The sequence below is a fragment of the Homo sapiens genome, chromosome 1, assembly GCF_000001405.40.
Source record: "Homo sapiens chromosome 1, GRCh38.p14 Primary Assembly".
NCBI classification, from domain to species: Eukaryota; Metazoa; Chordata; class Mammalia; order Primates; family Hominidae; genus Homo; species Homo sapiens.
Window position 1 is genome coordinate 1,030,831 of NC_000001.11, and position 23,940 is coordinate 1,054,770.

Consider the following 23,940-nt stretch of genomic DNA (forward strand, 5'->3'; position numbering starts at 1 on the left):
TGGTGCTGTGAGATCAGCGTGTGTGTGTGTGCAGTGCATGGTGCTGTGTGAGATCAGCATGTGTGTGTGTGCAGTGCATGGTGCTGTGAGATCAGCGTGTGTGTGTGTGCAGTGCATGGTGCTGTGTGAGATCAGCATGTGTGTGTGTGTGCAGTGCATGGTGCTGAGTGTGAGATCAGCATGTGTGTGTGCAGTGCATGGTGCTGTGAGTGTATCAGCATGTGTGTGTGTGCAGTGCATGGTGCTGTGAGTGTGATTGTGTGTGTGTGTGTGCGGTGCATGGTGCTGTGTGAGATGTGTGTGTGTGCAGTGCATGGTGCTGTGTGAGATTGTGTGTGTGCAGTGCATGGTGCTGAGTGTGAGATCAGCATGTGTGTGTGCAGTGCATGGTGCTGTGAGTGTATCAGCATGTCTGTGTGTGTGCAGTGCATGGTGCTGAGTGTGAGATCAGCATGTGTGTGTATGTGTGTGCGGTGCATGGTGCTGTGAGTGTGAGATCAGGGACCAGGGGGCTAGTACTCTTTCCTGCACATGAGCCTGCGTGGGCTGGTCAGGGCTGAATGATTTTGTCTGAAGATCCCAAAATAGCTCATGTCGCCTGAGCTCCCTCCCTGGCTGGGCCTGGGGCCTCAATGGCCCTTTGTCTTTCTGAAGGCATCTGGGCCTCTGTGGGGGGCTCAGACACTGACTGGGGCTGGGTGGGGCCAGGCTGCCTGCCTGGTTCCCCTTCCCCTGGCCCAGCCCAAGGGGCCCTAAGCCTCATTCCAGTGTCGGCCTGGGGCAGCCAGGCCCCCCACGTGACTTTCAGCTTGTTGGGCCCCCTTTGCTGGCAGATCCCAGGGTCTCTCTGTGTGGGGGCAAACTTCCCAGGCAGTGTTTGAGGCCCCCTCTGCCAGCCCGTACCTGGGGCTCCCCCACCCCTCCCACATTGTGGTACCTGTCCTCCTCCTGCAGAGCCCGCCCAGAGATCCCATGGCTGAAGGTGGTGGCAGCAGGCGGGCTGGCGCGTGACCTGGTAGCACGGCCTGGGTTTGACCCTGGCACTGCCCCTGGGACTCAGAGCTGGGAGGTGAGAAATGGGGAATGCATGTGAACCACCTGCCTCTGCACACAGCAAGTCCTGTTCTGGGTTTTCTCATCCCTGGGTCACACCCTGCGCTGGGGAGATAAAAAGTCAGACCCTGCCCGGGGCACCCACAGTCAGCACCGCCGGAACACTGTCAGCCTGGTGTGGACAGTGCCAAGGTCCAGCAGGGTGGGGTGGTTGGGGTAGGAGCTCCCCTGAGGAGAGAGTGAGGCCAGCAGGGGTGGGTCTCCAAGTGCTTCCTTTGACAGCTGCTCTGGATGGGACGTGGCTTGGGGTGGGTGAGAACCCTTGGCTGAGTTTGGATTTTCCTGCAGGGTTTCATTGGAACACCAGGTTCCAGGGCCGTAGAGATGTGGAGGCCTCCTGTCTGGGTGATGGGGCATGGTGCTGGTCCCTGGCTGTGGGGTGGAAAGGAGTCCCAAGAGAGGGAGCTGGCAAGACAGGACCTTCCCAGCTAAGGTGGGGTTGGTGGGATTTGGCTGGGGCCCTTGGAGGAGCCTGACCAGGAGGTGAGACAGGGCACCTGGAAGGAAGGAGGCGTTGGGGAGAGTCCAGATGGAGGCCATGGGGTTGAGGGGCCCAGACACCCGGCTGGGGGACTCCAGGAAGGCAGCAGGTGTGGGCAGTGGGTCCTCTGGGGTGGACTGAGGTGAGGCCTGGGTGTGACCACGCGGTGGCACTGGTGGCTGCCGGCAGCTGTCGTCTGCAGAGTGGGTGAGACCGAGTGTGGCAGATGGCTTGGTCCGCGGTGCTGGAGGGGACTGGCGGAGCAGAAGCGCCCTGGCGCCGGGTCCTTGCTTTCCTGGAGCTGGGGCTTGGGGAATGGGGTCGGTCATTGCAGGGACAGAGGAGAGGGCAGGGTAATGGGTGCGCAGGGGTCCCTTCCAAAGGCTGCGGGTGGCCAGGGGTGTGCGGGGGCGCTGAGGTGCGGTCGCCGAGAGATTCTGGCCTCCAGGGTGGTCGGGCCTGGCATGGACTCTAGGGGATGGTGCACACACCGGACCGGACGGGCCCCTCCCTTACCCCCGGATCCCCCGGCTGGGCAGCGGCCAGGGAGAGGGGCGACCTACGGGGGCGGGTGTGGGGACGCCGGACTACGCGTCAGGAGTCCCAGATGGGCCCAGACCCCCATTCCCCGCCCCGGGCCGCAGTGACGTCAGGGCCCGGACGTTCCCGGAACGGCCTCTTGGGGGCGTTCCAGCCCCACGGACCCGCAGGGAGTCCCCGCCGCAATTTGCATGGGGCTCATTTGCATGACCCCGCCCCGCGCGGGAGTCGGGGGCGCCGGCGACTGGAGGAGCCACTGTCAATCCCCAGGGGAAAGTGGGCGAGGCGATTTCTGGGCCGCTCACCTCACTCCACCCTCCAGCTCGCGCCGCACCTGGGGCCCTCCCCCACCTACGCCCCGCCAGGGCGGGGCCGCGGGCGCAGACACTCGCGGGCACACGCACGACGACGCGCACACGCGGTCGCACGCGGCCCCCCGAGCCCCCTGCGGCGACTCCGATTCACCCCCGCGGGTGCGGGGCGCGGACCCGCCCGGCCCAGCTCCTGCTCCCCAGGCGCTTCCTCCTCCCGCGACCTGCCCCGGCCGCACCCGCCTCCGCTCCAGCACGCGACGCTGCCCGGCGCGACCCCTGCTCCCCCGGCCCAGCCCCACCGCTGCCCTCGACTCAATCCCAGTTGAACGCCCGCAGCCTCAGTCCCACCCCCGGCCCAGCCCCAGCGCCCCCAGTCCCACCCCCGGCCCCAGCTTCAGCCTCAGCGCCCCCAGGCCCAGCCCCAGTCCCACCCCCAGTCCCAACACCTTCAGGCCCACCCTCGGCCCCAGCCTCAGCCACCCCAGCCCCAGTCCCGGCCCAGCCCCAGCCCCAGCGCTCCCGGCCCCGGGCCCAGCCCCAGCCCCAGCCCCAGCCGAGCACCCCCGGCCCCGCCTGCCCGGCGTTCCCTTTTGTGCGGCGCTCTCCCGTCCGCATCCGCCCGATCCTCTGGAACTCCCCGCGGACGCCGGGGTCCCTGGAGGCGGCTTCCTTTGTCTCTGCTCCCGCCCTCCCTCCGCGGCGTCTTCGCCCCTCACTCACCTCCCCAGCCCCGCGGGGACGAGGGGAGCTGGAGGGAGCCCGGGACCCGGCGCGGCCTCCGCAGGCGGCGCTTTCTTCTCGCTCCCGACGCGGCCGCCCCTCCTGCCTGCCCGCTCCTATCGCCGCTTCCGCCTCTGCCGGGGACGGGGACAGCAGACCCTCGGCGCCCGGCCCCCGCGCACCTGCCGCGCGCACCGCCTCTCCGGCCTGCGCGGCTCCGGGGGCTCCGGGAAGACCGAGCGCTGGCGGCCAGCCCGGGGAGGCTGTGGGCAGCAGGGGTGGCTGCGGGCTCCCAGTCCCTCCTCCGCCTACCTCGGAGCCCACATTTGGGATTTCTACTCCGGGAGAATTCTGCCCTCCTCCCACGATGAGCCTGGAGGACTGGAGCCGGGACCTGGCACCCCCAGGGCTGTGACTGGGTGAACTCTGAGGGCACAGCTGCTGTCCGCCGCCCCAGGGGTCCCAGGATGGGGCGAGCAGCCCTGAAGAGGCCCAAGGGCACCCCGTGAGGAGCCCCCACGCTCTGAGAGTGGGGCGCAGAGCCGGAGCCCCGGGCCATGCCTCCGCTGCCGCTGGCGCGGGACACCCGGCAGCCGCCTGGCGCCTCCCTGCTGGTGCGAGGCTTCATGGTGCCCTGCAACGCCTGCCTGATCCTGCTGGCCACCGCCACGCTCGGCTTCGCGGTGCTGCTGTTCCTCAACAACTGTAGGTGGCCGCGGGCGGGGCGTCGCACTGGCCAAGCCCCAACCCCGAGGCCCCTGCACATAGAGGCTGGAGGCCGCGGCGGGTCCGCGGGGCTCCCGGCAGCTTCCCGGGGATGGGATGGGTCACTCTGCGGACCCCTCGGTCCCTGGAGGCCGTCCTTGGGCTCTCAGTGGGCCTGGCCCTCACCCAAAGCTGCAGAAACACTTTCTGCGGGAGCTGGGGAGGGAGGGGCAGCCGGCTACACTGAGAGCCGGCAGTTGGGGGTAGGGCAGGACCTGCGGTGGACTCTTCCAGGGAAGGGGGTCCTGCCTGCACCCCTGTGGCTGGGGCCCCATCTGACAGGGGTCAGGCCATGACTATTTGGCTGGAGGGGCAGAGAAAAGCAGGGGCCTCTGTCTCAGACCTCAGCCAGCCCATGGGGTCAGGGCTGGACCCTTCAGCAGCCTGGATCCCTGGGGCTAGCGGTGGGGGGGGGGGGGTGGGCAGGGGTGCCCCTTTCCAGGCTGGGCAAAGGGATGGGACAGGGAGGAGCCTGCTCAGAGGAGCCTAACTTGGGGATTTGTTTTCTTCCAGATAAACCCGGGACCCACTTCACTCCAGTGCCTCCGACGCCTCCTGATGGTGAGTAGGGCTGAGTTCGGGGGACCTGGATGGGCTGTGGCACTCTTGGGAGTCAGGGGCCATTTGGAGGTGTGCACCCAGACGTGTGGAGTGTGTCTGGAGTGAGGAGGAGGCTGGACAAGGGCACCTGCGTCTGTCCTGGGAGTCCGCAGCGGTGGGCCGCAGTAGGAACTCGGGGTCTAGAGGCCGCCGCCTGACGGCACTGGACCTCGGCTCTCACTTCTCTGGGCCTCAGCCCCCTCAGCCTCAAAACTGGGAACAAGTCCTGGGACCCACAGGTTGTGAGGTGATGTCAGACCTGTAGGGCAGGGCCAGAGTCCGGTCAGGGGGCTCCGCTCTATTGTCCTCCCTTCTCCCTGTTCAGCAAGGGGTGGGGCTGGACAGAGGCTGGAAGTGGACAGGAGCTTGCAGGGAAGGCTGAGCTGGGGGAGGGCCCTGACCTGATCAGTGACAGCTGTCTGGGGAGGGGCCTGGAGGGCGGCAGTCTGTCCCTGGGACTCTGCAGGCTGTCATGGGGGGACACAAGTGATGGAGGGGGCGGGCTGACCTTGTTGACCTGCTTTGTGAGGTGGGGCCTGTCCTCCCCGGGGTGCTCCTGGTGTTTGGGCCACTGTCATCGGGGTGGTGTGAGGGTGTGAGGGGAAGAGAGGAAGTGGTCAGCTTTGCAGAGGAACACAGACGGGGGGACCGGTGGCTCCCTCGCCAGGCCTGGGGTCCTTTCCAGCAGGTGGGGAAGGAGCACCTGCCCCATCACTGGGTCTCACTTGCGTTCAGTTGTGTGTGCAGGGCTGTCTGTGAGGGCTGTGCTGAGGCCTTCCTGACCAGCACATGGGGTGGGAAGGACGACCTGGGGAATCCTGAAGTGATCTGAAGACAGAGCCCTGGGCTGGATAGATCGTCTCGGCCACTTTCCAGGTCTTGGGAGTGGGGGATGATGGCTGGAGGAGGTGGCCAGGCCTTGGCAGGGGGCCCTGTGATGCCCGCCTGTGCTGAGAGGTGGGGGCAGCTTGGGATGCTCAGTGGTCTGAAAGATAGGGTGGGGTCTTCCCTCGGAGTGTGGAGTTTAGGCACCTGGGAACCGGAGCTGGATTCAGGGGTGTGAGATGGAGGCCCTCTGCTTCCTCGACCGCCTGCCAGGCTGGGGTGACCTGTAGTCAGCTGTGCTTTGCTCCTGAAGCCGCACACCAGCAAGTGGGCAGTGGTTCTCCCACACTTGGCTACTCAACTCCTGGTCCCAGGGACTCTGGCCTGGGGCAGCGCTGGGCCTGGGGTGAGGAGCTGGGCAGCGGGAATGGGGAATGGTGGCTGTGGGAACCCGTCCTACCCCTGGGCTCTAGCCCTGCAACCTGTCTGTTGGCCCCCAGCCCCTGATGGCCCTCCAACACCCGCCCCCCAACCCCACCAGGCTGTTCCTATGAGATCCCAAAGGCTCCTCAGAGCACCAGGCTTCTCTTGGACTGTGGGGAGAGGAGACCGGTCTGCGTGGCCAAGGTGATTGAGGCCTCTGAGGGGCCTCATGCCGGTGGGGTTGCTGTCCCCCTTCCTGAGACTCAGGAGCCCTGTGGGTCAGGGCAGCACAGCACCATGGGTGGTTTGTGACCTGAGGCATTTGAGGGGACACGGGTTGCAGGGGCCTGCAACAGGCTGGGAGAGCAGGTAGGTGAGCAGCTGGCTTGTCCTGGAAGACCCTCTCCCTCCTGGCAGCCCCAGGACTGGGGGCAGGAGGGTATGGACTCAGAGAAGGACCCGAGTCTTGCAGGAAGGGGCCTGAACCCTCCCAGTGGGCTGGGTCCTGGGGAGGAGACAGGTCTATGCAGGTCTATGCTGGTGGCTGGGGCCGGGCAGGGCCAGGGCAAGAACTGCGTTTCCACCACCTGTGAGCCAGAGGCCTGGAGCCAACTGGATTTAAAGAGGTGCTCAGGTGGGAGGTCCCCTCTCTTAGCATCCTCAGCCTCGTTTCCTGACACCCAGAAGGCTGGGGAGTGTCTCCTTTTCTTTACACACTGCCCCCTTCACCTGGCCACAGCCCACCCTGCCACAGAGTCACGGAGGGCTCCACACCAAGGCCATCGTGACCCACATGCCACCTAACTGTGGTCATAGTTACGGGCCAGAGCTCACAGCAGGGCTGGGGCATCCTCTCCATCCCCCAGCCTACCCAGGACCAGGAAGGGAGTTAAATATACCCGCTCCTATAAAAAGCACTGCCGCCTCCAGCGTTGCACACAGTGGGAGGACCCGTCACGCTGCGGGAGAGTGGGTGGGGAGGCCGAGTGGCCGGGGAGGGGCTCCTGCAGGAGGTGGAGCTAAGACAGGCGTGGCAGGACCCCCAAAAATGACCCATCGGGAACACAGGGCTCTCAGGGTCCTAGGTGTGTCACCTGCATCTATGAGGGGCCATGTGGGCAGGTGACCGGAGCACAGATGTGTCTGAGCCCAGTGCTGGCATTTCTAGCAGTGTGGCCTTGTCAGGTGGCCTACCTTCCTCCTGCCAGCTGGCAGGGGAGACATCTCGGGGCGTGGCTGCTGCAATGCGCTGTGCCTGGCGGGTACGTGCGTGTGTGCCATCACCACGTGCACCTGTCTTCAGGTGATCTCGTGTGGAGCCTCTATGATCCCCTAGGCCTGTGGAGACTCAGCACAGTGGTGGGAGCGGCCCCTCACCTAAGCCCGCAGTGTGAGCGGAGAATGGGGGGGTGGGGCTTCCCGGAGGCCGTGATTCCTGAGCTCACTCTTGAGGGGCAGATGTGTTTCCAGCCTGGATGGGGATAGGAGGGAGGGACCAGCACTGTGACCTTTAAACCCTGGGCTGGCCGGCAGTGTCACACCATCAAATGCTGTGAGGGAGATCCACCCCCACTCCACAGCTGGGGCCACATTCCAAGAGGAGCGGACTCTCTGAGGCCCTGGAGGCAGAGGGGAAGGGGCCAGGACCTGGCCCTGCACACCAGATGGGGATGGGGAGCCAGTGCTCAGCCTGGCTTCAAGGTCCCGCCAGGTACCCAAGGTCTCTCCACTGCCCTGCCACATTGGTCCAGCAGCTGGTCACTCAGAGCCTGTCCCTAAGGTACCTCTAGGCTCCCATCCCAGAGCTTGCTCTCCATGCCCCTGCAAGCAGTCCAGCCCCGCTCACCCTGGTGAGCTGCCATCATCACCTTCTTCCCCAAGGCTCTGTCTTGGGACGTAGCAGGACCTCGGGCTGGACTATGGAGGGAGCTGCGGGTCCTGGTGGATGAGGAGCATGCCCGCCATCCAGGAACAGTGCCCTTGGCCATGGTGTCAGGGCCTTGGGAGAGGTCTGGCTGAGCCAAGGTGACCAAAAGGGGAGAAAGGCTCAGGAGCCCTGGTGCAGGGAGGTGACTGGGTCCTTGGCCATGGGGTTGGGACCTGGGGGGAACCATTGGTCCACAGGTCCAGCCGAAGCCCAGGAGAACAGCTGGCTGGGCATCAGCAGGTGCCCGTTGGATTTGGACTGGGAGTCCCAGGGCCTTGGACAAGGCAGGGCCAAAGGGAGAGGGAGATGCTGAGGGGAGAGAGAAGGGGAACCAGAAGGGAAGTGAAAGGGCCAGGGGTGCATGTGGTTTGAGTTTGATTTGAGCCAGGACGGGGGAAGGCCAGTGGTGATGACAGCCCTCATGACTATACTTACAGTGGCAGCAGACGGGCCACATAGCGCTGTGTGCTGGGCACCCTCTAAGCTTTGCAGATACTGGCCCATTTAACCCCACAATCCTGGGAGGTAGGTCCTATTGCTCCTATTCACCGAAGGGGATACTGAGGCCCAGGCAGGTGATAACCTGCCCACATTCTCACAGTGGGTAATGCAGAGCTGAGCAGCCTGGCTGTAAGACCTGAGGTGGGAGAGTAGCAGAAGAGGGGTGGGGGCACAGCCAAGGTTTGGGGAGGAAGACAGGGATCTGGTGGGGGGAGCATGGGTAGGTTGCAGGGATGGCAGGCGGATGGCCCTCACTCAGCCTTCTGGGGTGGGGGCAGGGACACCCAGACAGACAGCGCCAGAGCCTGGGGTGGGCTGTTGCTATAGCAACAGCTGGCTCCAGCTCCCAGTGCACCCACCCTCCTTGGAGATGGGGGGGGTTCCTCCTGCCCCATTTCACGAGCCTGCTGGGAAGTGATGGGTGGTAGCCACCCCTCTGACATGACTTATTAATGATAATTGGACCCAATTAAACATTTATTAAATCCAGACAGCTGCAGCCGCTAACGGACCCTTCCCTGATCCTGGGTGGGCCATGCTGGGGGTGGGGGTGCTCAGGATGGGCTGCCGCAGGGGCTCTGGGTTTTAACGTGCCTGAGGCAGCTTTGTTGGCCACGTTGAGGTCTGGTGATGGGACGTGTGTCAGGCGCTGTGGTCTGCAGCTGTAAGAACTAAAATGAGCAACAGTTCCTGCACCTCTCCAAGAAGGAAGTTCGCTTTGACAGAGAGTGAGGGCGATGGAGGAGGCAAGAGTGAGGTGGGGGGCCGGGGGATGCCCAGGGAGGAGGGGGCGTGTGGGTGCCCCAGGGATCCCAGGGAGCGATGGGAGGCTGCAGAAGGGCACAGGCCTGCCGCGGGTGGGGGGCTGGCCAGGGAGAATAGGAGATAGTAGAGGCGGAGGCCAGGAATTTGCACTTCTCCAGGGAAGCTGGGGAAGAGTTGGGGAGAGGGAGGCAAGAAGATTCCCCACCCATCTTAGGCGCAGGGAGCGGTCAGGGAGGCGCCAGAGGTGGGCCAGAGCTGTGACCTGGCCTCACACCCCGTCCCGGTGGGGCTCTCAGGCCCCTGAGGGCCAGACGCGGGACCTGGGTGCGACCCGGGCGGGAGGCGGCAGGGCTCAGCTGTGCTGGACGCTGCAGCAGCGCGGGAAGGGGCTCCCCCGGCTCCATGGGGTGAATCGGTGAGGGGCTCCGGTGCCGATGTGGAAGGAGCTCCTGAGCAGAACTGGGGCCTGGACTGCTTGTGCCCGAGTTGGTTTCGAGGCGTCTCTGCTTTTCGCTGGAGGCCCACGAGGTGGGTGGGAAGTGGGTGCTCGCCCGTCGCAGAAACAGAGTCGGGTGCCGCCTGCGGCAGACGCCCCTCTCCGCGCCTGCAGGTGCGGGGTGGGGGAGAAAGGTCATCCCTGGAGAGGCCCGGGGCTGGCGGGAATCCTCGGCGGGCGGGGTCTGCGAGGGGCAGGGCCGGTCCTGTGAGCGCACGCACGCGTGTCCGTGTCCGTGGTGGACCCCCGATGCGGCGCGGGGGCGGGTGAATGCGCGGGCTGCGAGCACGGCAAGGTCTCTCAGGCTTGTGGACGTGGGTACGGGCGTCTCGGCACCCTGAGCTTTCTCCCCTACCCGCCCCAGCGTGCCGGGGAATGCTGTGCGGCTTCGGCGCCGTGTGCGAGCCCAACGCGGAGGGGCCGGGCCGGGCGTCCTGCGTCTGCAAGAAGAGCCCGTGCCCCAGCGTGGTGGCGCCTGTGTGTGGGTCGGACGCCTCCACCTACAGCAACGAATGCGAGCTGCAGCGGGCGCAGTGCAGCCAGCAGCGCCGCATCCGCCTGCTCAGCCGCGGGCCGTGCGGTGAGCGGGGCGGGGCCGGTGCCTGGGGCGGGGAGGGGCGGGGCCTATGAGATGGAGCGAGGCTGGGAGGGGCTTCGGGGCCAGTGGGGCGGGGGCAGGGGCGGGGCCCGGCGGGGAGGAGCGGGGCTGGGAGGGGCCTGGGGGGCGGAGCGGGGCGGGAGCGGGGGCGGGGCCTGCGGGGCCCGGCGGGGAGGAGCGGGGCTGGGAGGGGCCTGGGGGGCGGAGCGGGGCGGGAGCGGGGCGGGAGCGGGGGCGGGGGCGGCCCGTCTGACCGGCAAAGCCCCGCCCGCAGGCTCGCGGGACCCCTGCTCCAACGTGACCTGCAGCTTCGGCAGCACCTGTGCGCGCTCGGCCGACGGGCTGACGGCCTCGTGCCTGTGCCCCGCGACCTGCCGTGGCGCCCCCGAGGGGACCGTCTGCGGCAGCGACGGCGCCGACTACCCCGGCGAGTGCCAGCTCCTGCGCCGCGCCTGCGCCCGCCAGGAGAATGTCTTCAAGAAGTTCGACGGCCCTTGTGGTGAGCGCGGCGGCGGGCGCACGGCTCGAGCTCTGTGGGCGCGCGGCGACAGCGTCCTGACTCCTGCCCTCGACCCCCAGACCCCTGTCAGGGCGCCCTCCCTGACCCGAGCCGCAGCTGCCGTGTGAACCCGCGCACGCGGCGCCCTGAGATGCTCCTACGGCCCGAGAGCTGCCCTGCCCGGCAGGCGCCAGTGTGTGGGGACGACGGAGTCACCTACGAAAACGACTGTGTCATGGGCCGATCGGGGGCCGCCCGGGGTCTCCTCCTGCAGAAAGTGCGCTCCGGCCAGTGCCAGGGTCGAGGTGAGCGGCTCCCCCGGGGGAGGGCTCCGGCCAGTGCCAGGGTCGAGGTGGGCGGCTCCCCCGGGGGAGGGCTCCGGCCAGTGCCAGGGTCGAGGTGGGCGGCTCCCCCGGGGGAGGGCTGCGGCCAGTGCCAGGGTCGAGGTGGGCGGCTCCCCTCTGGGAGGGCCGCCTGCTCCCCTGCTCCCTGCACATCCCAGGGCAGGGATGGAGGGTGCTCCAGCCTCTCCGTGACTCCCTCACCCCTGCGTCCTAGACCAGTGCCCGGAGCCCTGCCGGTTCAATGCCGTGTGCCTGTCCCGCCGTGGCCGTCCCCGCTGCTCCTGCGACCGCGTCACCTGTGACGGGGCCTACAGGCCCGTGTGTGCCCAGGACGGGCGCACGTATGACAGTGATTGCTGGCGGCAGCAGGCTGAGTGCCGGCAGCAGCGTGCCATCCCCAGCAAGCACCAGGGCCCGTGTGGTGAGCGCCCCGGGGTGGAGGCCAGGCGGGGTGGGCTGCTCCTGCGTCAGTCCCTGCCTGGACATCACATGCCATCTTCATCCATCATGTTCCTCTTGGGGTCCTGGGAGTGGGCCGGTCCCTCTGGGAAGGCTCTGGGGAGGGTGGAGCCTGTGTGCGGAGGGTACCTGGATACCTGGGGGCTGGTGAGGCAGAGGCGGGGCCTTGTCCAGGCTCCCTGGTCCCTGACCTCAGCCACGCCCTCCCTGGGAGTCCTCTGGCCTGTCCGCATGTCTCCACGCTGTAAGCACAGGCTGTTGGGGTGGGCAGGCTGGACACAACACCAGGGTCCTCACTCTTGGGACATGGGCAGCCGTCGGCCGTTTTGGAGGCAGTGTCAGGACTTGAAGGGCCAGGGGGAGGCAGTGGCCGTCGTGTCCCGTCGTGTTCGTCTTGGTCAGTTCGCCCATCTTCTGGTCTTTCTCTCTGCGTCTGTCTCTTCTCTTTGGTCTCTTCTTCCCTGTCGGCTCCGCCTCTTGTGTCTTCCAGCCTGACCTGCTGGCAGGATGAGGTGCCGTGCCTGCCCTCCAGGAGCCCGCAGCCCGAGGTCTGCCCCTGGTGCGGCAGGGGGGGTGGCTTGCTGCTGCCTGGCCTTGTGGTCCTCAGAGCAAGTGGACAGACACCTCCTCCCCCGTGCAGCCCTGGGTGTGACTCTGGGGGTGCAGGCTCCTCCCACCCACAGAGAGCCCCCCCACATGCATGGGTGTCCTGGGGATGCTGGTGGTCAGGGGTCAGTGGCCTGGGCAGGCTGGGGAAGCCTGGCCCTCCCATAGCCTGCTGTGGACAATCAGGAAGCCCCAAGCTTGGGGGCAGCCTCGCCCGCAGCCACCGGGGACTCCTGGGTGTGTGTTCCGCTCGCCTCTGCCGCGTGTCTGTCCCTTTCTCTGCCGTGTCTGCTGTGCATCTGGCCCTTCTCCTGTGTTCTCTCTTCCTCCACCATCCCCTCCCTGGAAGAGGGACTGCTGCGTGGGGCTGGGGGCTTTGCCTGCAGCGGAGGGGGGGCTTGTGGGACCACTGAGCCCCTGTGTCCTTCCCAGACCAGGCCCCGTCCCCATGCCTCGGGGTGCAGTGTGCATTTGGGGCGACGTGTGCTGTGAAGAACGGGCAGGCAGCGTGTGAATGCCTGCAGGCGTGCTCGAGCCTCTACGATCCTGTGTGCGGCAGCGACGGCGTCACATACGGCAGCGCGTGCGAGCTGGAGGCCACGGCCTGTACCCTCGGGCGGGAGATCCAGGTGGCGCGCAAAGGACCCTGTGGTCAGTGGCGGGTGAGGGGTCTGGTGGGGGTCGGGGAGAGAGAGGTTCCTGGTCGCCTGGTGATGGAAGCTCCTCCCCAGACCGCTGCGGGCAGTGCCGCTTTGGAGCCCTGTGCGAGGCCGAGACCGGGCGCTGCGTGTGCCCCTCTGAATGCGTGGCTTTGGCCCAGCCCGTGTGTGGCTCCGACGGGCACACGTACCCCAGCGAGTGCATGCTGCACGTGCACGCCTGCACACACCAGATCAGCCTGCACGTGGCCTCAGCTGGACCCTGTGGTGAGTGAGGCCCTGGGGCCGGGCGGGCCAGGGTCCTGTGCCTCCCTCAGCCTGGGCCTGCCGACCCCTGCCTGGCTCTGTCTCCTGCAGAGACCTGTGGAGATGCCGTGTGTGCTTTTGGGGCTGTGTGCTCCGCAGGGCAGTGTGTGTGTCCCCGGTGTGAGCACCCCCCGCCCGGCCCCGTGTGTGGCAGCGACGGTGTCACCTACGGCAGTGCCTGCGAGCTACGGGAAGCCGCCTGCCTCCAGCAGACACAGATCGAGGAGGCCCGGGCAGGGCCGTGCGAGCAGGGTAGGCCGGGGGACGCTGGCGAAAACTGCTGGGCTCTGGCTTTGGACAAGAAGCCCCTGGGTGACTCTGCTCCCCTTCCCCGCAGCCGAGTGCGGTTCCGGAGGCTCTGGCTCTGGGGAGGACGGTGACTGTGAGCAGGAGCTGTGCCGGCAGCGCGGTGGCATCTGGGACGAGGACTCGGAGGACGGGCCGTGTGTCTGTGACTTCAGCTGCCAGAGTGTCCCAGGCAGCCCGGTGAGCTCTGTACCCCTGGCTCTCGGCGGGCGGCGGGGACGGGGCTGCGGCCGCTCACACTGACACCACCCTCCAGGTGTGCGGCTCAGATGGGGTCACCTACAGCACCGAGTGTGAGCTGAAGAAGGCCAGGTGTGAGTCACAGCGAGGGCTCTACGTAGCGGCCCAGGGAGCCTGCCGAGGTGAGCCGGCTGCACGTGGGGTCTCAGGCACAGGCGGGGCGGCGTCTGGGTTTCCGTGTCTGGATGTGGGCGTGCCCGTGTGCTGCGTTGGGCCCCTGTGGACGTGTGTATTGTGTTGTAAGTGAGCATCGTCCAGTGTTGGTGCCTGTGCACATTTGTGCAGCTGCGTGTGTGGGCGTGTGTGTCCATCAGTCAGTGGGCGTGCACCAGGCCAGGCCTCAGTGCTGAGAGGCAGCGTGAACCATGCGGGGCCCCACCGTGTGGGCACTTTCTCTGCATACGTCCATCCGGTCGATGTATCACATCAATTAGGTAAAAGTGGTGCCCGGTGTGTGTGATGCGCGTGCACAGATGTGTGTCTGCAGAGGGGCGTTAACTGTACGGTTTGGAGGAATGTGGGTGAGAACGCATGCTGACGTCTTCAGATGTCTGTTTCTCGATTTGCAAGGAAGCTCGCGTGTGTGTGTGCACAGAGCTGCGTGTCCGTGATCTTTGGATGCTCTGTGTGTTGTGTGTTCCTGGATCTGCATTTACAGACATGTTCTTGCGTAAGATGTGGGAGCCTCACCTGTGTCCTCAGCCCCAGGCTCCCGGGCTCCTCTGGGAGCTGGGATCGGGACGGCTGAGTGGTGACAGTGGGGGTAGGTGGAGGCAGACTGGCTGGGTCCAGGGTGGGTGTCCAGCACTGCATGAAATCTGAGTCCCGTACCCTTTCCTGCAGGCCCCACCTTCGCCCCGCTGCCGCCTGTGGCCCCCTTACACTGTGCCCAGACGCCCTACGGCTGCTGCCAGGACAATATCACCGCAGCCCGGGGCGTGGGCCTGGCTGGCTGCCCCAGTGAGTACCTGAGCTCAGCCCCGACCCCGGGCCTGGTGCGGCTGTGCGGCCACGTGACCTTGTCCTGCCCTGGCCTTTCAGGTGCCTGCCAGTGCAACCCCCATGGCTCTTACGGCGGCACCTGTGACCCAGCCACAGGCCAGTGCTCCTGCCGCCCAGGTGTGGGGGGCCTCAGGTGTGACCGCTGTGAGCCTGGCTTCTGGAACTTTCGAGGCATCGTCACCGATGGCCGGAGTGGCTGTACACGTGAGTGACAGGGCCCAGGACTGGCCACCGGCTATGCCCTCCTACCTGTTCACCCCCATCACTGTGCTTCTCCTCACCTGCCCAGGCCCTGGCCTGACCCACACCTGGCTGGGGGCTGGGCAGAGCCAGGGTTGGGGACCAGGCTCTGGAGGAGGTGGGGAAGCCCGTCCAGGTGCGGACATCACGTTCCTCCCCGATTTTCCCCAAAGCCTGCAGCTGTGATCCCCAAGGCGCCGTGCGGGATGACTGTGAGCAGATGACGGGGCTGTGCTCGTGTAAGCCCGGGGTGGCTGGACCCAAGTGTGGGCAGTGTCCAGACGGCCGTGCCCTGGGCCCCGCGGGCTGTGAAGCTGGTGAGTGAGGGCCAGCGCTACCCTGGGGCTTCATGGGGTGGGGTGGGGTCACCCGAGCCACAGAGGTTTCCCATGCCCGTGCCCCAGACGCTTCTGCGCCTGCGACCTGTGCGGAGATGCGCTGTGAGTTCGGTGCGCGGTGCGTGGAGGAGTCTGGCTCAGCCCACTGTGTCTGCCCGATGCTCACCTGTCCAGAGGCCAACGCTACCAAGGTGAGGGGTGTGGGATGTGAAGGGGAGTGGGGAGGAGGCCTCGCCTTGAACATCCTTGTTCTCTGCCCCAGGTCTGTGGGTCAGATGGAGTCACATACGGCAACGAGTGTCAGCTGAAGACCATCGCCTGCCGCCAGGGCCTGCAAATCTCTATCCAGAGCCTGGGCCCGTGCCAGGGTGAGGCCTGACGGCCACTGCCCCAGAACTGACCAGGAAGGCCTGACGCTGCCCTAAATCCAGCCCCACCCGCCCTGAGCCACCTGACCCTGTCCCAACCGGTCCCCCCGCCAACCTCCCTCTCCTTGCAGAGGCTGTTGCTCCCAGCACTCACCCGACATCTGCCTCCGTGACTGTGACCACCCCAGGGCTCCTCCTGAGCCAGGCACTGCCGGCCCCCCCCGGCGCCCTCCCCCTGGCTCCCAGCAGTACCGCACACAGCCAGACCACCCCTCCGCCCTCATCACGACCTCGGACCACTGCCAGCGTCCCCAGGACCACCGTGTGGCCCGTGCTGACGGTGCCCCCCACGGCACCCTCCCCTGCACCCAGCCTGGTGGCGTCCGCCTTTGGTGAATCTGGCAGCACTGATGGAAGCAGCGATGAGGAACTGAGCGGGGACCAGGAGGCCAGTGGGGGTGGCTCTGGGGGTGAGCAGGGATCAAGGACTTGGGGTGGGTGGGCAGGCGCCGAGAGGCTCCACCAGAGCCTGGGCTCAGAGCGCGTCTCCCCAGGGCTCGAGCCCTTGGAGGGCAGCAGCGTGGCCACCCCTGGGCCACCTGTCGAGAGGGCTTCCTGCTACAACTCCGCGTTGGGCTGCTGCTCTGATGGGAAGACGCCCTCGCTGGACGCAGAGGGCTCCAACTGCCCCGGTGAGTGGACGGCTGGGCGAGGGGAGTGTGAGGATAGCCTGGGCTCGGCCGAGGTGCTGCCCCCTCGCCTGGGCAGCAGGTCAGTGCCGGGGGTTATGGTCTTGGGACTCGGCCCCCTCAAACATGTGCGTGCCGGGGACCCCACGCCTAACCCGTCTCTCTCGTTGCAAGCCGGTGTGGCACACTGCTCTGAGGAGTCCTCCTGGTAACCGACACCAGCCCCACCCTGGGGTCCCCACTAACCTCATGACCATCTGACTAACATCCACCTTCCCTTGCACCCTTGTGGCTTGCTGCTGGGGCCTGTGCCTGGGCCAGCCTGGATGCCAGGCAGATGCCAGGCAGGGCCTCACTGTACCTCCCCCACAGCCACCAAGGTGTTCCAGGGCGTCCTGGAGCTGGAGGGCGTCGAGGGCCAGGAGCTGTTCTACACGCCCGAGATGGCTGACCCCAAGTCAGAACTGTTCGGGGAGACAGCCAGGAGCATTGAGAGCACCGTAAGACGGGGGCGCAGCCCCCACCTACCCACTGGCCTTCCTCCCCAGATACCCAGAGCAGCACCAGGGCAGCCCGGCTTGGGCGGCCCCCCAAGTCCTTGCCTACTCCCTGCCACAGCTGGACGACCTCTTCCGGAATTCAGACGTCAAGAAGGATTTTCGGAGTGTCCGCTTGCGGGACCTGGGGCCCGGCAAATCCGTCCGCGCCATTGTGGATGTGCACTTTGACCCCAGTGAGACCTGCACCCTGGACCCTTCCTGGGAGGCAATGGGTGGGGGATGCCTGGGGCTCTGCCATGCTCAGAGCTCCCTCCTCCCCAGCCACAGCCTTCAGGGCACCCGACGTGGCCCGGGCCCTGCTCCGGCAGATCCAGGTGTCCAGGCGCCGGTCCTTGGGGGTGAGGCGGCCGCTGCAGGAGCACGTGCGATTTATGGACTTTGGTGAGCGCCAGGCCACGAGCCACAGCTTACCTGCCCCCTCCTCTGCCCATGCCCCTGCCCCTCACCCCTTCCTGGCCCTGCTCCCAGGAAACCCTAACAGCTCCCTGTGCCGGCAGACTGGTTTCCTGCGTTTATCACGGGGGCCACGTCAGGAGCCATTGCTGCGGGAGCCACGGCCAGAGCCACCACTGCATCGCGCCTGCCGTCCTCTGCTGTGACCCCTCGGGCCCCGCACCCCAGTCACACAAGCCAGCCCGTTGCCAAGACCACGGCAGCCCCCACCACACGTCGGCCCCCCACCACTGCCCCCAGCCGTGTGCCCGGACGTCGGCCCCCGGCCCCCCAGCAGCCTCCAAAGCCCTGTGACTCACAGCCCTGCTTCCACGGGGGGACCTGCCAGGACTGGGCATTGGGCGGGGGCTTCACCTGCAGCTGCCCGGCAGGCAGGGGAGGCGCCGTCTGTGAGAAGGGTAAGGATGTCCACTGCAGAGGAGGGCGGGGAGGCAGCAGGGTGGGGGCAAGGATTGGGGGTGGGGCTAAGCCACCATCAGGCTTTGAGTTGGGGGCAGGAGCCCGGATTAAGGCGGGGTTTCGGCCAGATGCGGTGGCTCACGCCTGTAATCCCAGCACTTTGGGAGGCCGAGGCAGGCGGATCACCTGAGGTCGGGAGTTCGAGACCAGCCTGACCAACATGGAGACACTCTGTCTCTACTAAAAATACAAAATTAGCCGGGCGTGGTGGTGGGCGCCTGTAATCCCACCTCGTGAGGCTGAGGCAGGAGAATCGCTTGAACCTGGCAGGCGGAGGTTGCGGTGAGCCAGGATCGCGCCACTGCACTCCAGCCGGGGCAAAAAGAGCAAAACTCCGTCTCAAAAAAAAAAAAAAAAAAAAAAGCAGGGGGCGGTTTCAGGGATAAAAGTGGGGAATCCTCGGAGCTTTTCCAGCCGGCCCTCCCGGTCGCCCTTTGCAGTGCTTGGCGCCCCTGTGCCGGCCTTCGAGGGCCGCTCCTTCCTGGCCTTCCCCACTCTCCGCGCCTACCACACGCTGCGCCTGGCACTGGAATTCCGGGCGCTGGAGCCTCAGGGGCTGCTGCTGTACAATGGCAACGCCCGGGGCAAGGACTTCCTGGCATTGGCGCTGCTAGATGGCCGCGTGCAGCTCAGGTGGGCGGGGAGGGGACGGGGCCGGGGCAGCTCAGGTGGGCGGGGAGGGGACGGGCGGGGGAGGGGGGGCCGGGGCAGCTCAGGTGGGTGGGGTGGGGACGGGGGCGGGGCAGCTCAGGTAGGCGGGGTGGGGACGGGGCCGGGCGATGGTCCTGAGCACCTGCTCCTGCCCTCAGGTTTGACACAGGTTCGGGGCCGGCGGTGCTGACCAGTGCCGTGCCGGTAGAGCCGGGCCAGTGGCACCGCCTGGAGCTGTCCCGGCACTGGCGCCGGGGCACCCTCTCGGTGGATGGTGAGACCCCTGTTCTGGGCGAGAGTCCCAGTGGCACCGACGGCCTCAACCTGGACACAGACCTCTTTGTGGGCGGCGTACCCGAGGACCAGGCTGCCGTGTGAGTCCCTTGGAGGGTGGTGTGGCCCCGACCCCGGCCCTTTGGGGTCCCGGTGTACGAGGTGGCTTTGCCTGTGGCCCCTGAGCCCTGACCCGGTGTCCCTCCTGGTGGCAGGGCGCTGGAGCGGACCTTCGTGGGCGCCGGCCTGAGGGGGTGCATCCGTTTGCTGGACGTCAACAACCAGCGCCTGGAGCTTGGCATTGGGCCGGGGGCTGCCACCCGAGGCTCTGGCGTGGGCGAGTGCGGGGACCACCCCTGCCTGCCCAACCCCTGCCATGGCGGGGCCCCATGCCAGAACCTGGAGGCTGGAAGGTTCCATTGCCAGTGCCCGCCCGGCCGCGTCGGTGAGGGTGGGGCCGGGGCGGGTGGGAGTGGGACCCCGGGGCCTGTGGGCGGTACCCAACCGACGCCTCCTGGGACCTCGGTCCCGGTCCCGTCTTCCTCCATCCAGGACCAACCTGTGCCGATGAGAAGAGCCCCTGCCAGCCCAACCCCTGCCATGGGGCGGCGCCCTGCCGTGTGCTGCCCGAGGGTGGTGCTCAGTGCGAGTGCCCCCTGGGGCGTGAGGGCACCTTCTGCCAGACAGGTCGGGGGCGTGGGGCTCTCGGGGCAGGGGGGGGGGGGGGGTTGAACGTTTGGGCGGGTACAGGTTCCAGGTAGCATTGCAGTTAGGATGCGGCTCAGTCTAGTCTGGGTTTTGAGTTAGGATCCACACACGGCTGGCATGGGGTGCAGGAGGCCCCGGGGGTCAGGACTGAGGCCTTGGTGACTCTCCCTACAGCCTCGGGGCAGGACGGCTCTGGGCCCTTCCTGGCTGACTTCAACGGCTTCTCCCACCTGGAGCTGAGAGGCCTGCACACCTTTGCACGGGACCTGGGGTCGGTGGGGCAGGAGCAGGGGGAAGGGCCGGCCCCCACCTCCGTCTCTCCTGTGGGGAGGGGACAGCAAAGACACCCCGACTCCCCATGACCCCAGGGAGAAGATGGCGCTGGAGGTCGTGTTCCTGGCACGAGGCCCCAGCGGCCTCCTGCTCTACAACGGGCAGAAGACGGACGGCAAGGGGGACTTCGTGTCGCTGGCACTGCGGGACCGCCGCCTGGAGTTCCGCTACGACCTGGGCAAGGGGGCAGCGGTCATCAGGTGGGCCGGCAAGGGTGGCTCTGGGAGGCCTGGGGCACTGGCCCGGGGCCGGGGCACCAGCAGGTCGCTCAGGCCCTGGGTGGTCGCGTGGCCGGTGGTGGACAGAGCCCACTCACGCTGCCCCTCCTCACCAGGAGCAGGGAGCCAGTCACCCTGGGAGCCTGGACCAGGGTCTCACTGGAGCGAAACGGCCGCAAGGGTGCCCTGCGTGTGGGCGACGGCCCCCGTGTGTTGGGGGAGTCCCCGGTGAGTGCTCTGGGCCGCGAGGGGACTCCCGCTGCTGCCTGCTCTTCCTCCTCGGGCGGCAGCCCCGCCCCTGCCGGCGCTCACGGAGCTGTTTTTCTGTCCTGTTCTCTTGGCCGCCTGCCCTGTCCTCTGCCTCCTCTGCCTCCCTGCTCTCTGCTCTCGCTCTGCAACCCCACCCGCTCTTCGGAGGCCAGAAATCCCGCAAGGTACTGTCGGCCTCTCATCCGCTCACCGTCTCTGGCGCCTCAACCCCTAGGGTAGCTCCTCCCCCACTAAGGACCCTGCCATTTCTGTGTGATTAACGCTGCCCCCTAGATAGGCAATGGGCGGGTGGGGCGGGTGCGTGCAGGTGCCTGGGCCCTGGGTCTGCACCGTGGGTGGGCTCTGCACAGCCACTTACCTGGCGTCCCCGCAGGTTCCGCACACCGTCCTCAACCTGAAGGAGCCGCTCTACGTAGGGGGCGCTCCCGACTTCAGCAAGCTGGCCCGTGCTGCTGCCGTGTCCTCTGGCTTCGACGGTGCCATCCAGCTGGTATGTGGGGGCGGGGCGTCCCAGCAGGGCCTCCGGGGCGGGCGGGGTGGCAGGCGGGACAAGGCCCTCACCCTGCCCTGCAGGTCTCCCTCGGAGGCCGCCAGCTGCTGACCCCGGAGCACGTGCTGCGGCAGGTGGACGTCACGTCCTTTGCAGGTCACCCCTGCACCCGGGCCTCAGGCCACCCCTGCCTCAATGGGGCCTCCTGCGTCCCGAGGGAGGCTGCCTATGTGTGCCTGTGTCCCGGGGGATTCTCAGGACCGCACTGCGAGAAGGGTGAGCCTGGCACAGGGCAGGGGGCGGAGGCCGGATGGGCCCGGAGCCCACGAGGCCCCACCCTCACCTGCCTATCTCACAGGGCTGGTGGAGAAGTCAGCGGGGGACGTGGATACCTTGGCCTTTGACGGGCGGACCTTTGTCGAGTACCTCAACGCTGTGACCGAGAGGTAACGTGCCATCCTCTGCTGGCTGTCGGTTCCATCTGTGCCCTCGGGGCGGGACACCGGACCCCCACACCAGGAGGGCCCAGGAGGGGACGGCCCGGTGCTGCCACCTCTGTCCTCCCGCCTCTCTCTCACCTCCCGGTCCTCCCGCCTCTCACTGTCTGTCTCTTTGTTTCCAAGCGAACTGGCCAATGAGATCCCCGTGTGAGTAGAGCTCGGCGCCCCCCGCTCCCTCTCACTCCCACTCCTCCATCCTTCCTGGTGGGGAGCAGAGTCCGGAGCCCCCGGGGAACTTTCCATCCCTTGTGGCGGAGGATGGGGGTCCGGCGCTATTTGGCTGCAAGAGGCCGTTTCCTGCCTCAGAAGTGCAGTCGCCCCTCCCAGGGCACAGGCCGAGGGTCGCCCCACAGCCAACCCCCACCACTGAGGCTGTACACACCTGTGCGCATATGCATGCATGTCTGTGTCCGTGTGCACTTCCGCGTGTGTGAACATGCAGCTGTGTCTGTGCGTGTCTATGTATATGGAGTGGATGTGCAAGTGTGTGTGAATATCCAGCTGTGTGTGTGCATGGGTCCATGTATATGTGTGTGTGTATATGTGGGGGGGACATGTAGATATGCGTGTGTGACTATGCGGCCGTGTGTGTGCATGGCTCCATGTATGTGTGTGTATATGAGGGAGACATGCAGGTATGTGTCCGTGTGTGTGTGTGTGCATATGGGTCCATGTATGTGTGTGTATATGAGGGAGACACGCAGGTGTGTGTCTGAGTGTGTGCGCACATGGGTCCATGTATGTGTGTGTATAGGTGAGGGAGACATGCATGTGTGTGTCCGTGTGTGTGCATGGGTCCATGTGTGTATAGTGTGTACACATGGGTCCATGTATGTGTGTGTATATGAGGGAGACACGCAGGTGTGTGTCCGAGTGTGTGTGCATGGGTCCATGTGTGTATAGTGTGTGCACATGGGTCCATGTATGTGTGTGTATATGAGGGAGACACGCAGGTGTGTGTCCGAGTGTGTGTCCATGGGTCCATGTATGTGTGTGTATATGTGGGGGAGACAGGTGTGTGTCCGAGTGTGTGCATGGGTCCGTGTATATGCGTGTATATATGGGGGGATATGTAGATGTGTGTGTGTATGAACAGGTGTAAGTGGGGAGCACTCAGGTGTGTCTGTGTGTGTTCGTGTACACGTGTGTATGTGTGTGAACATGGAGGGGTGTGTGTGTCCGTGTGTAGGTTTGCGTGCATGCACACATGCATGTGTGTACTGGGGCATCCAAGCCCCTGGTCTCCACTCCATACCACCCTACGCCTACCTCCTTGATCTCTGCGCCCAGCCTTGGCTGTGCTCCCCTGCTGTCTGCACGTGGGTGTCTGCACGTGGGTGTCTGCATGTGGGTGTCTGTGCCCTCAAGTGTCTCGTGTCTGCACGTGGGTGTCTGCACCCTCACGTGTCTCGTGTCCGCACAAGCATGTGTAGGTGTCCCTGCTGGGCTCTTTGGTGGGCGGCCAGTGATCCTCGAGGTCACGCATGTCTTCTGTGGGTGCCTGCTCCTTGCACCCCACAGTGTTGAGATGGGTTTGCATTGGCCCCGCCTGTCCCCTGCTCACCCGCCTCCCTCTCTTCCTGCTTCTAAGCCCCGAAACTCTGGATTCCGGGGCCCTTCACAGGTGAGCACGTGGCAGCAGTGCCTGCAGACCCCTGGCTGGCCCATCTGTCCTCCCGCCCGTCTCTCTGATCTCTCTCTGCCAGGCTGCCCCTGTCTCCATCCCTCTTCTCCCTCCCACTGTCGGTGTCTGCCCACCAGCCACCCCTGGGTCCCGTCACAGCCCTTGTGGCCTCCGCAGCTGGGGCCCTTGTCCTCCCGCCTCCCCCACCCTGTCCTGTTGCCACCTTCCTAGAGGCCCTGACCTGCCCTCTGCCCTCCAGCGAGAAGGCACTGCAGAGCAACCACTTTGAACTGAGCCTGCGCACTGAGGCCACGCAGGGGCTGGTGCTCTGGAGTGGCAAGGCCACGGAGCGGGCAGACTATGTGGCACTGGCCATTGTGGACGGGCACCTGCAACTGAGCTACAACCTGGGCTCCCAGCCCGTGGTGCTGCGTTCCACCGTGCCCGTCAACACCAACCGCTGGTTGCGGGTCGTGGCACATAGGTGAGTAGGGAACCCAGCGTGCCGAGAATAGTGGCGAGGGCTGCCCAGACTTGCCCAGCTGGGCTGTGTCCAGTCACTTGTGACCAGGGGTCAGGGAGGACACGCCTTGCTGCCTGAGCCGAGGTCACTGCCAGTGGGAGGAGGAAGGGCCAAGAAGATGCAGGAGAAGCAATGATCAGTTTCCACGTCTGAAAGGCATCCCGGCCCTGCCCGGAGCCTGCCGGGGGTCGCTCCAGTCTGAGCCTGGCCGTCGCCTCCAGCAAAGCTTGAGCTGCAGGAATGTCCCCGGCCTTGGCTCCCAGTGCCCTCCTTGGGGTCAAGGCCACCTCATCCTTGCCCCCAGGGGTGATACCTCGGGGGTTCTCCAGGCTGAGGCACCTGCAGGGCATAGGAAGGATGCAGGGCTTATGGTCTAGAGGAGGCAGAGGGAACTCTGGGCCCTGATGGTCTCCCCCTCCCTGCACACCCAGGGAGCAGAGGGAAGGTTCCCTGCAGGTGGGCAATGAGGCCCCTGTGACCGGCTCCTCCCCGCTGGGCGCCACGCAGCTGGACACTGATGGAGCCCTGTGGCTTGGTGAGTGTTTTGGGGAGACTAGAGAGGGATGCCCAAGGGTCTCATGATATCCGAGGGACAGACTCCACCCCCCAGCGCCCACCCTTGAGTCAGGGTGCATGTGAGCCGGCGGGCTGGGCTCTCTTCTCCCGCTGTAGCCCCTGCAGTTCCCAGTGCTGTGGGGCCGGGAGGCGGGTGCCCAGGTGTGGGCCCCCTGCTGGTCACCTGCTCGTTGGGGTG

The 23,940-nt window shown here is 66.1% G+C and overlaps 1 protein-coding gene across 8 annotated transcripts in view, besides 11 other annotated features; it reads left to right on the plus strand.

Annotated features, from left to right (window-relative positions):
* AGRN (agrin) overlaps positions 1-23,940 on the plus strand; it is a 35,997-nt gene that overhangs the window by 10,711 nt on the left and 1,346 nt on the right. For 2 of the 8 annotated variants that reach the window (XM_005244749.4, XM_011541429.3), the window contains exons 3-36: positions 4,447-4,494; positions 9,835-10,050; positions 10,343-10,567; positions 10,648-10,872; positions 11,126-11,332; positions 12,409-12,627; positions 12,708-12,902; positions 12,993-13,193; positions 13,279-13,427; positions 13,504-13,609; positions 14,331-14,447; positions 14,529-14,693; positions 14,903-15,046; positions 15,134-15,258; positions 15,330-15,435; positions 15,567-15,905; positions 15,990-16,127; positions 16,497-16,624; positions 16,743-16,857; positions 16,946-17,065; positions 17,182-17,535; positions 18,037-18,229; positions 18,406-18,621; positions 18,736-18,965; positions 19,073-19,207; positions 19,403-19,499; positions 19,597-19,761; positions 19,896-20,007; positions 20,202-20,213; positions 20,423-20,539; positions 20,623-20,815; positions 20,898-20,985; positions 22,923-23,147; positions 23,618-23,721. In XM_005244749.4, the coding sequence (XP_005244806.1) occupies positions 4,447-4,494; positions 9,835-10,050; positions 10,343-10,567; positions 10,648-10,872; positions 11,126-11,332; positions 12,409-12,627; positions 12,708-12,902; positions 12,993-13,193; positions 13,279-13,427; positions 13,504-13,609; positions 14,331-14,447; positions 14,529-14,693; positions 14,903-15,046; positions 15,134-15,258; positions 15,330-15,435; positions 15,567-15,905; positions 15,990-16,127; positions 16,497-16,624; positions 16,743-16,857; positions 16,946-17,065; positions 17,182-17,535; positions 18,037-18,229; positions 18,406-18,621; positions 18,736-18,965; positions 19,073-19,207; positions 19,403-19,499; positions 19,597-19,761; positions 19,896-20,007; positions 20,202-20,213; positions 20,423-20,539; positions 20,623-20,815; positions 20,898-20,985; positions 22,923-23,147; positions 23,618-23,721 (5,529 nt within the window). The other 6 variants (NM_198576.4, XM_047419836.1, NM_001305275.2 and 3 more) reach the window with 5 other exon arrangements.
* Positions 1,635-2,504: an enhancer, noted in NCBI's record as "H3K27ac-H3K4me1 hESC enhancer chr1:967845-968714 (GRCh37/hg19 assembly coordinates)". NCBI's record gives its function as "activates a minimal SCP1, AML or CMV promoter by ChIP-STARR-seq in naive H9 embryonic stem cells {active_cell/tissue: H9 hESC(naive)}" and the evidence as "EXISTENCE:reporter gene assay evidence [ECO:0000049][PMID:30033119]".
* Positions 1,635-2,727: a biological region, named in NCBI's record as "H3K27ac-H3K4me1 hESC enhancer GRCh37_chr1:967845-968714".
* Positions 2,018-2,197: a silencer, noted in NCBI's record as "silent region_19". NCBI's record gives its function as "represses an Ori minimal core promoter by ATAC-STARR-seq in GM12878 lymphoblastoid cells {active_cell/tissue: GM12878}" and the evidence as "EXISTENCE:reporter gene assay evidence [ECO:0000049][PMID:35858748]".
* Positions 2,258-2,397: a silencer, noted in NCBI's record as "silent region_20". NCBI's record gives its function as "represses an Ori minimal core promoter by ATAC-STARR-seq in GM12878 lymphoblastoid cells {active_cell/tissue: GM12878}" and the evidence as "EXISTENCE:reporter gene assay evidence [ECO:0000049][PMID:35858748]".
* Positions 2,378-2,498: a silencer, noted in NCBI's record as "fragment chr1:968588-968708 (GRCh37/hg19 assembly coordinates)". NCBI's record gives its function as "represses an EF-1alpha promoter that drives an FKBP-Casp9 reporter gene in an ReSE screen in K562 erythroleukemia cells {active_cell/tissue: K562}" and the evidence as "EXISTENCE:reporter gene assay evidence [ECO:0000049][PMID:32094911]".
* Positions 2,418-2,727: a silencer, noted in NCBI's record as "silent region_21". NCBI's record gives its function as "represses an Ori minimal core promoter by ATAC-STARR-seq in GM12878 lymphoblastoid cells {active_cell/tissue: GM12878}" and the evidence as "EXISTENCE:reporter gene assay evidence [ECO:0000049][PMID:35858748]".
* Positions 3,143-3,292: a silencer, noted in NCBI's record as "silent region_22". NCBI's record gives its function as "represses an Ori minimal core promoter by ATAC-STARR-seq in GM12878 lymphoblastoid cells {active_cell/tissue: GM12878}" and the evidence as "EXISTENCE:reporter gene assay evidence [ECO:0000049][PMID:35858748]".
* Positions 8,716-9,394: an enhancer, noted in NCBI's record as "H3K27ac-H3K4me1 hESC enhancer chr1:974926-975604 (GRCh37/hg19 assembly coordinates)". NCBI's record gives its function as "activates a minimal SCP1, AML or CMV promoter by ChIP-STARR-seq in primed H9 embryonic stem cells {active_cell/tissue: H9 hESC(primed)}" and the evidence as "EXISTENCE:reporter gene assay evidence [ECO:0000049][PMID:30033119]".
* Positions 9,950-10,159: a silencer, noted in NCBI's record as "silent region_23". NCBI's record gives its function as "represses an Ori minimal core promoter by ATAC-STARR-seq in GM12878 lymphoblastoid cells {active_cell/tissue: GM12878}" and the evidence as "EXISTENCE:reporter gene assay evidence [ECO:0000049][PMID:35858748]".
* Positions 19,861-19,960: a silencer, noted in NCBI's record as "silent region_24". NCBI's record gives its function as "represses an Ori minimal core promoter by ATAC-STARR-seq in GM12878 lymphoblastoid cells {active_cell/tissue: GM12878}" and the evidence as "EXISTENCE:reporter gene assay evidence [ECO:0000049][PMID:35858748]".
* Positions 23,605-23,787: a silencer, noted in NCBI's record as "fragment chr1:989815-989997 (GRCh37/hg19 assembly coordinates)". NCBI's record gives its function as "represses an EF-1alpha promoter that drives an FKBP-Casp9 reporter gene in an ReSE screen in K562 erythroleukemia cells {active_cell/tissue: K562}" and the evidence as "EXISTENCE:reporter gene assay evidence [ECO:0000049][PMID:32094911]".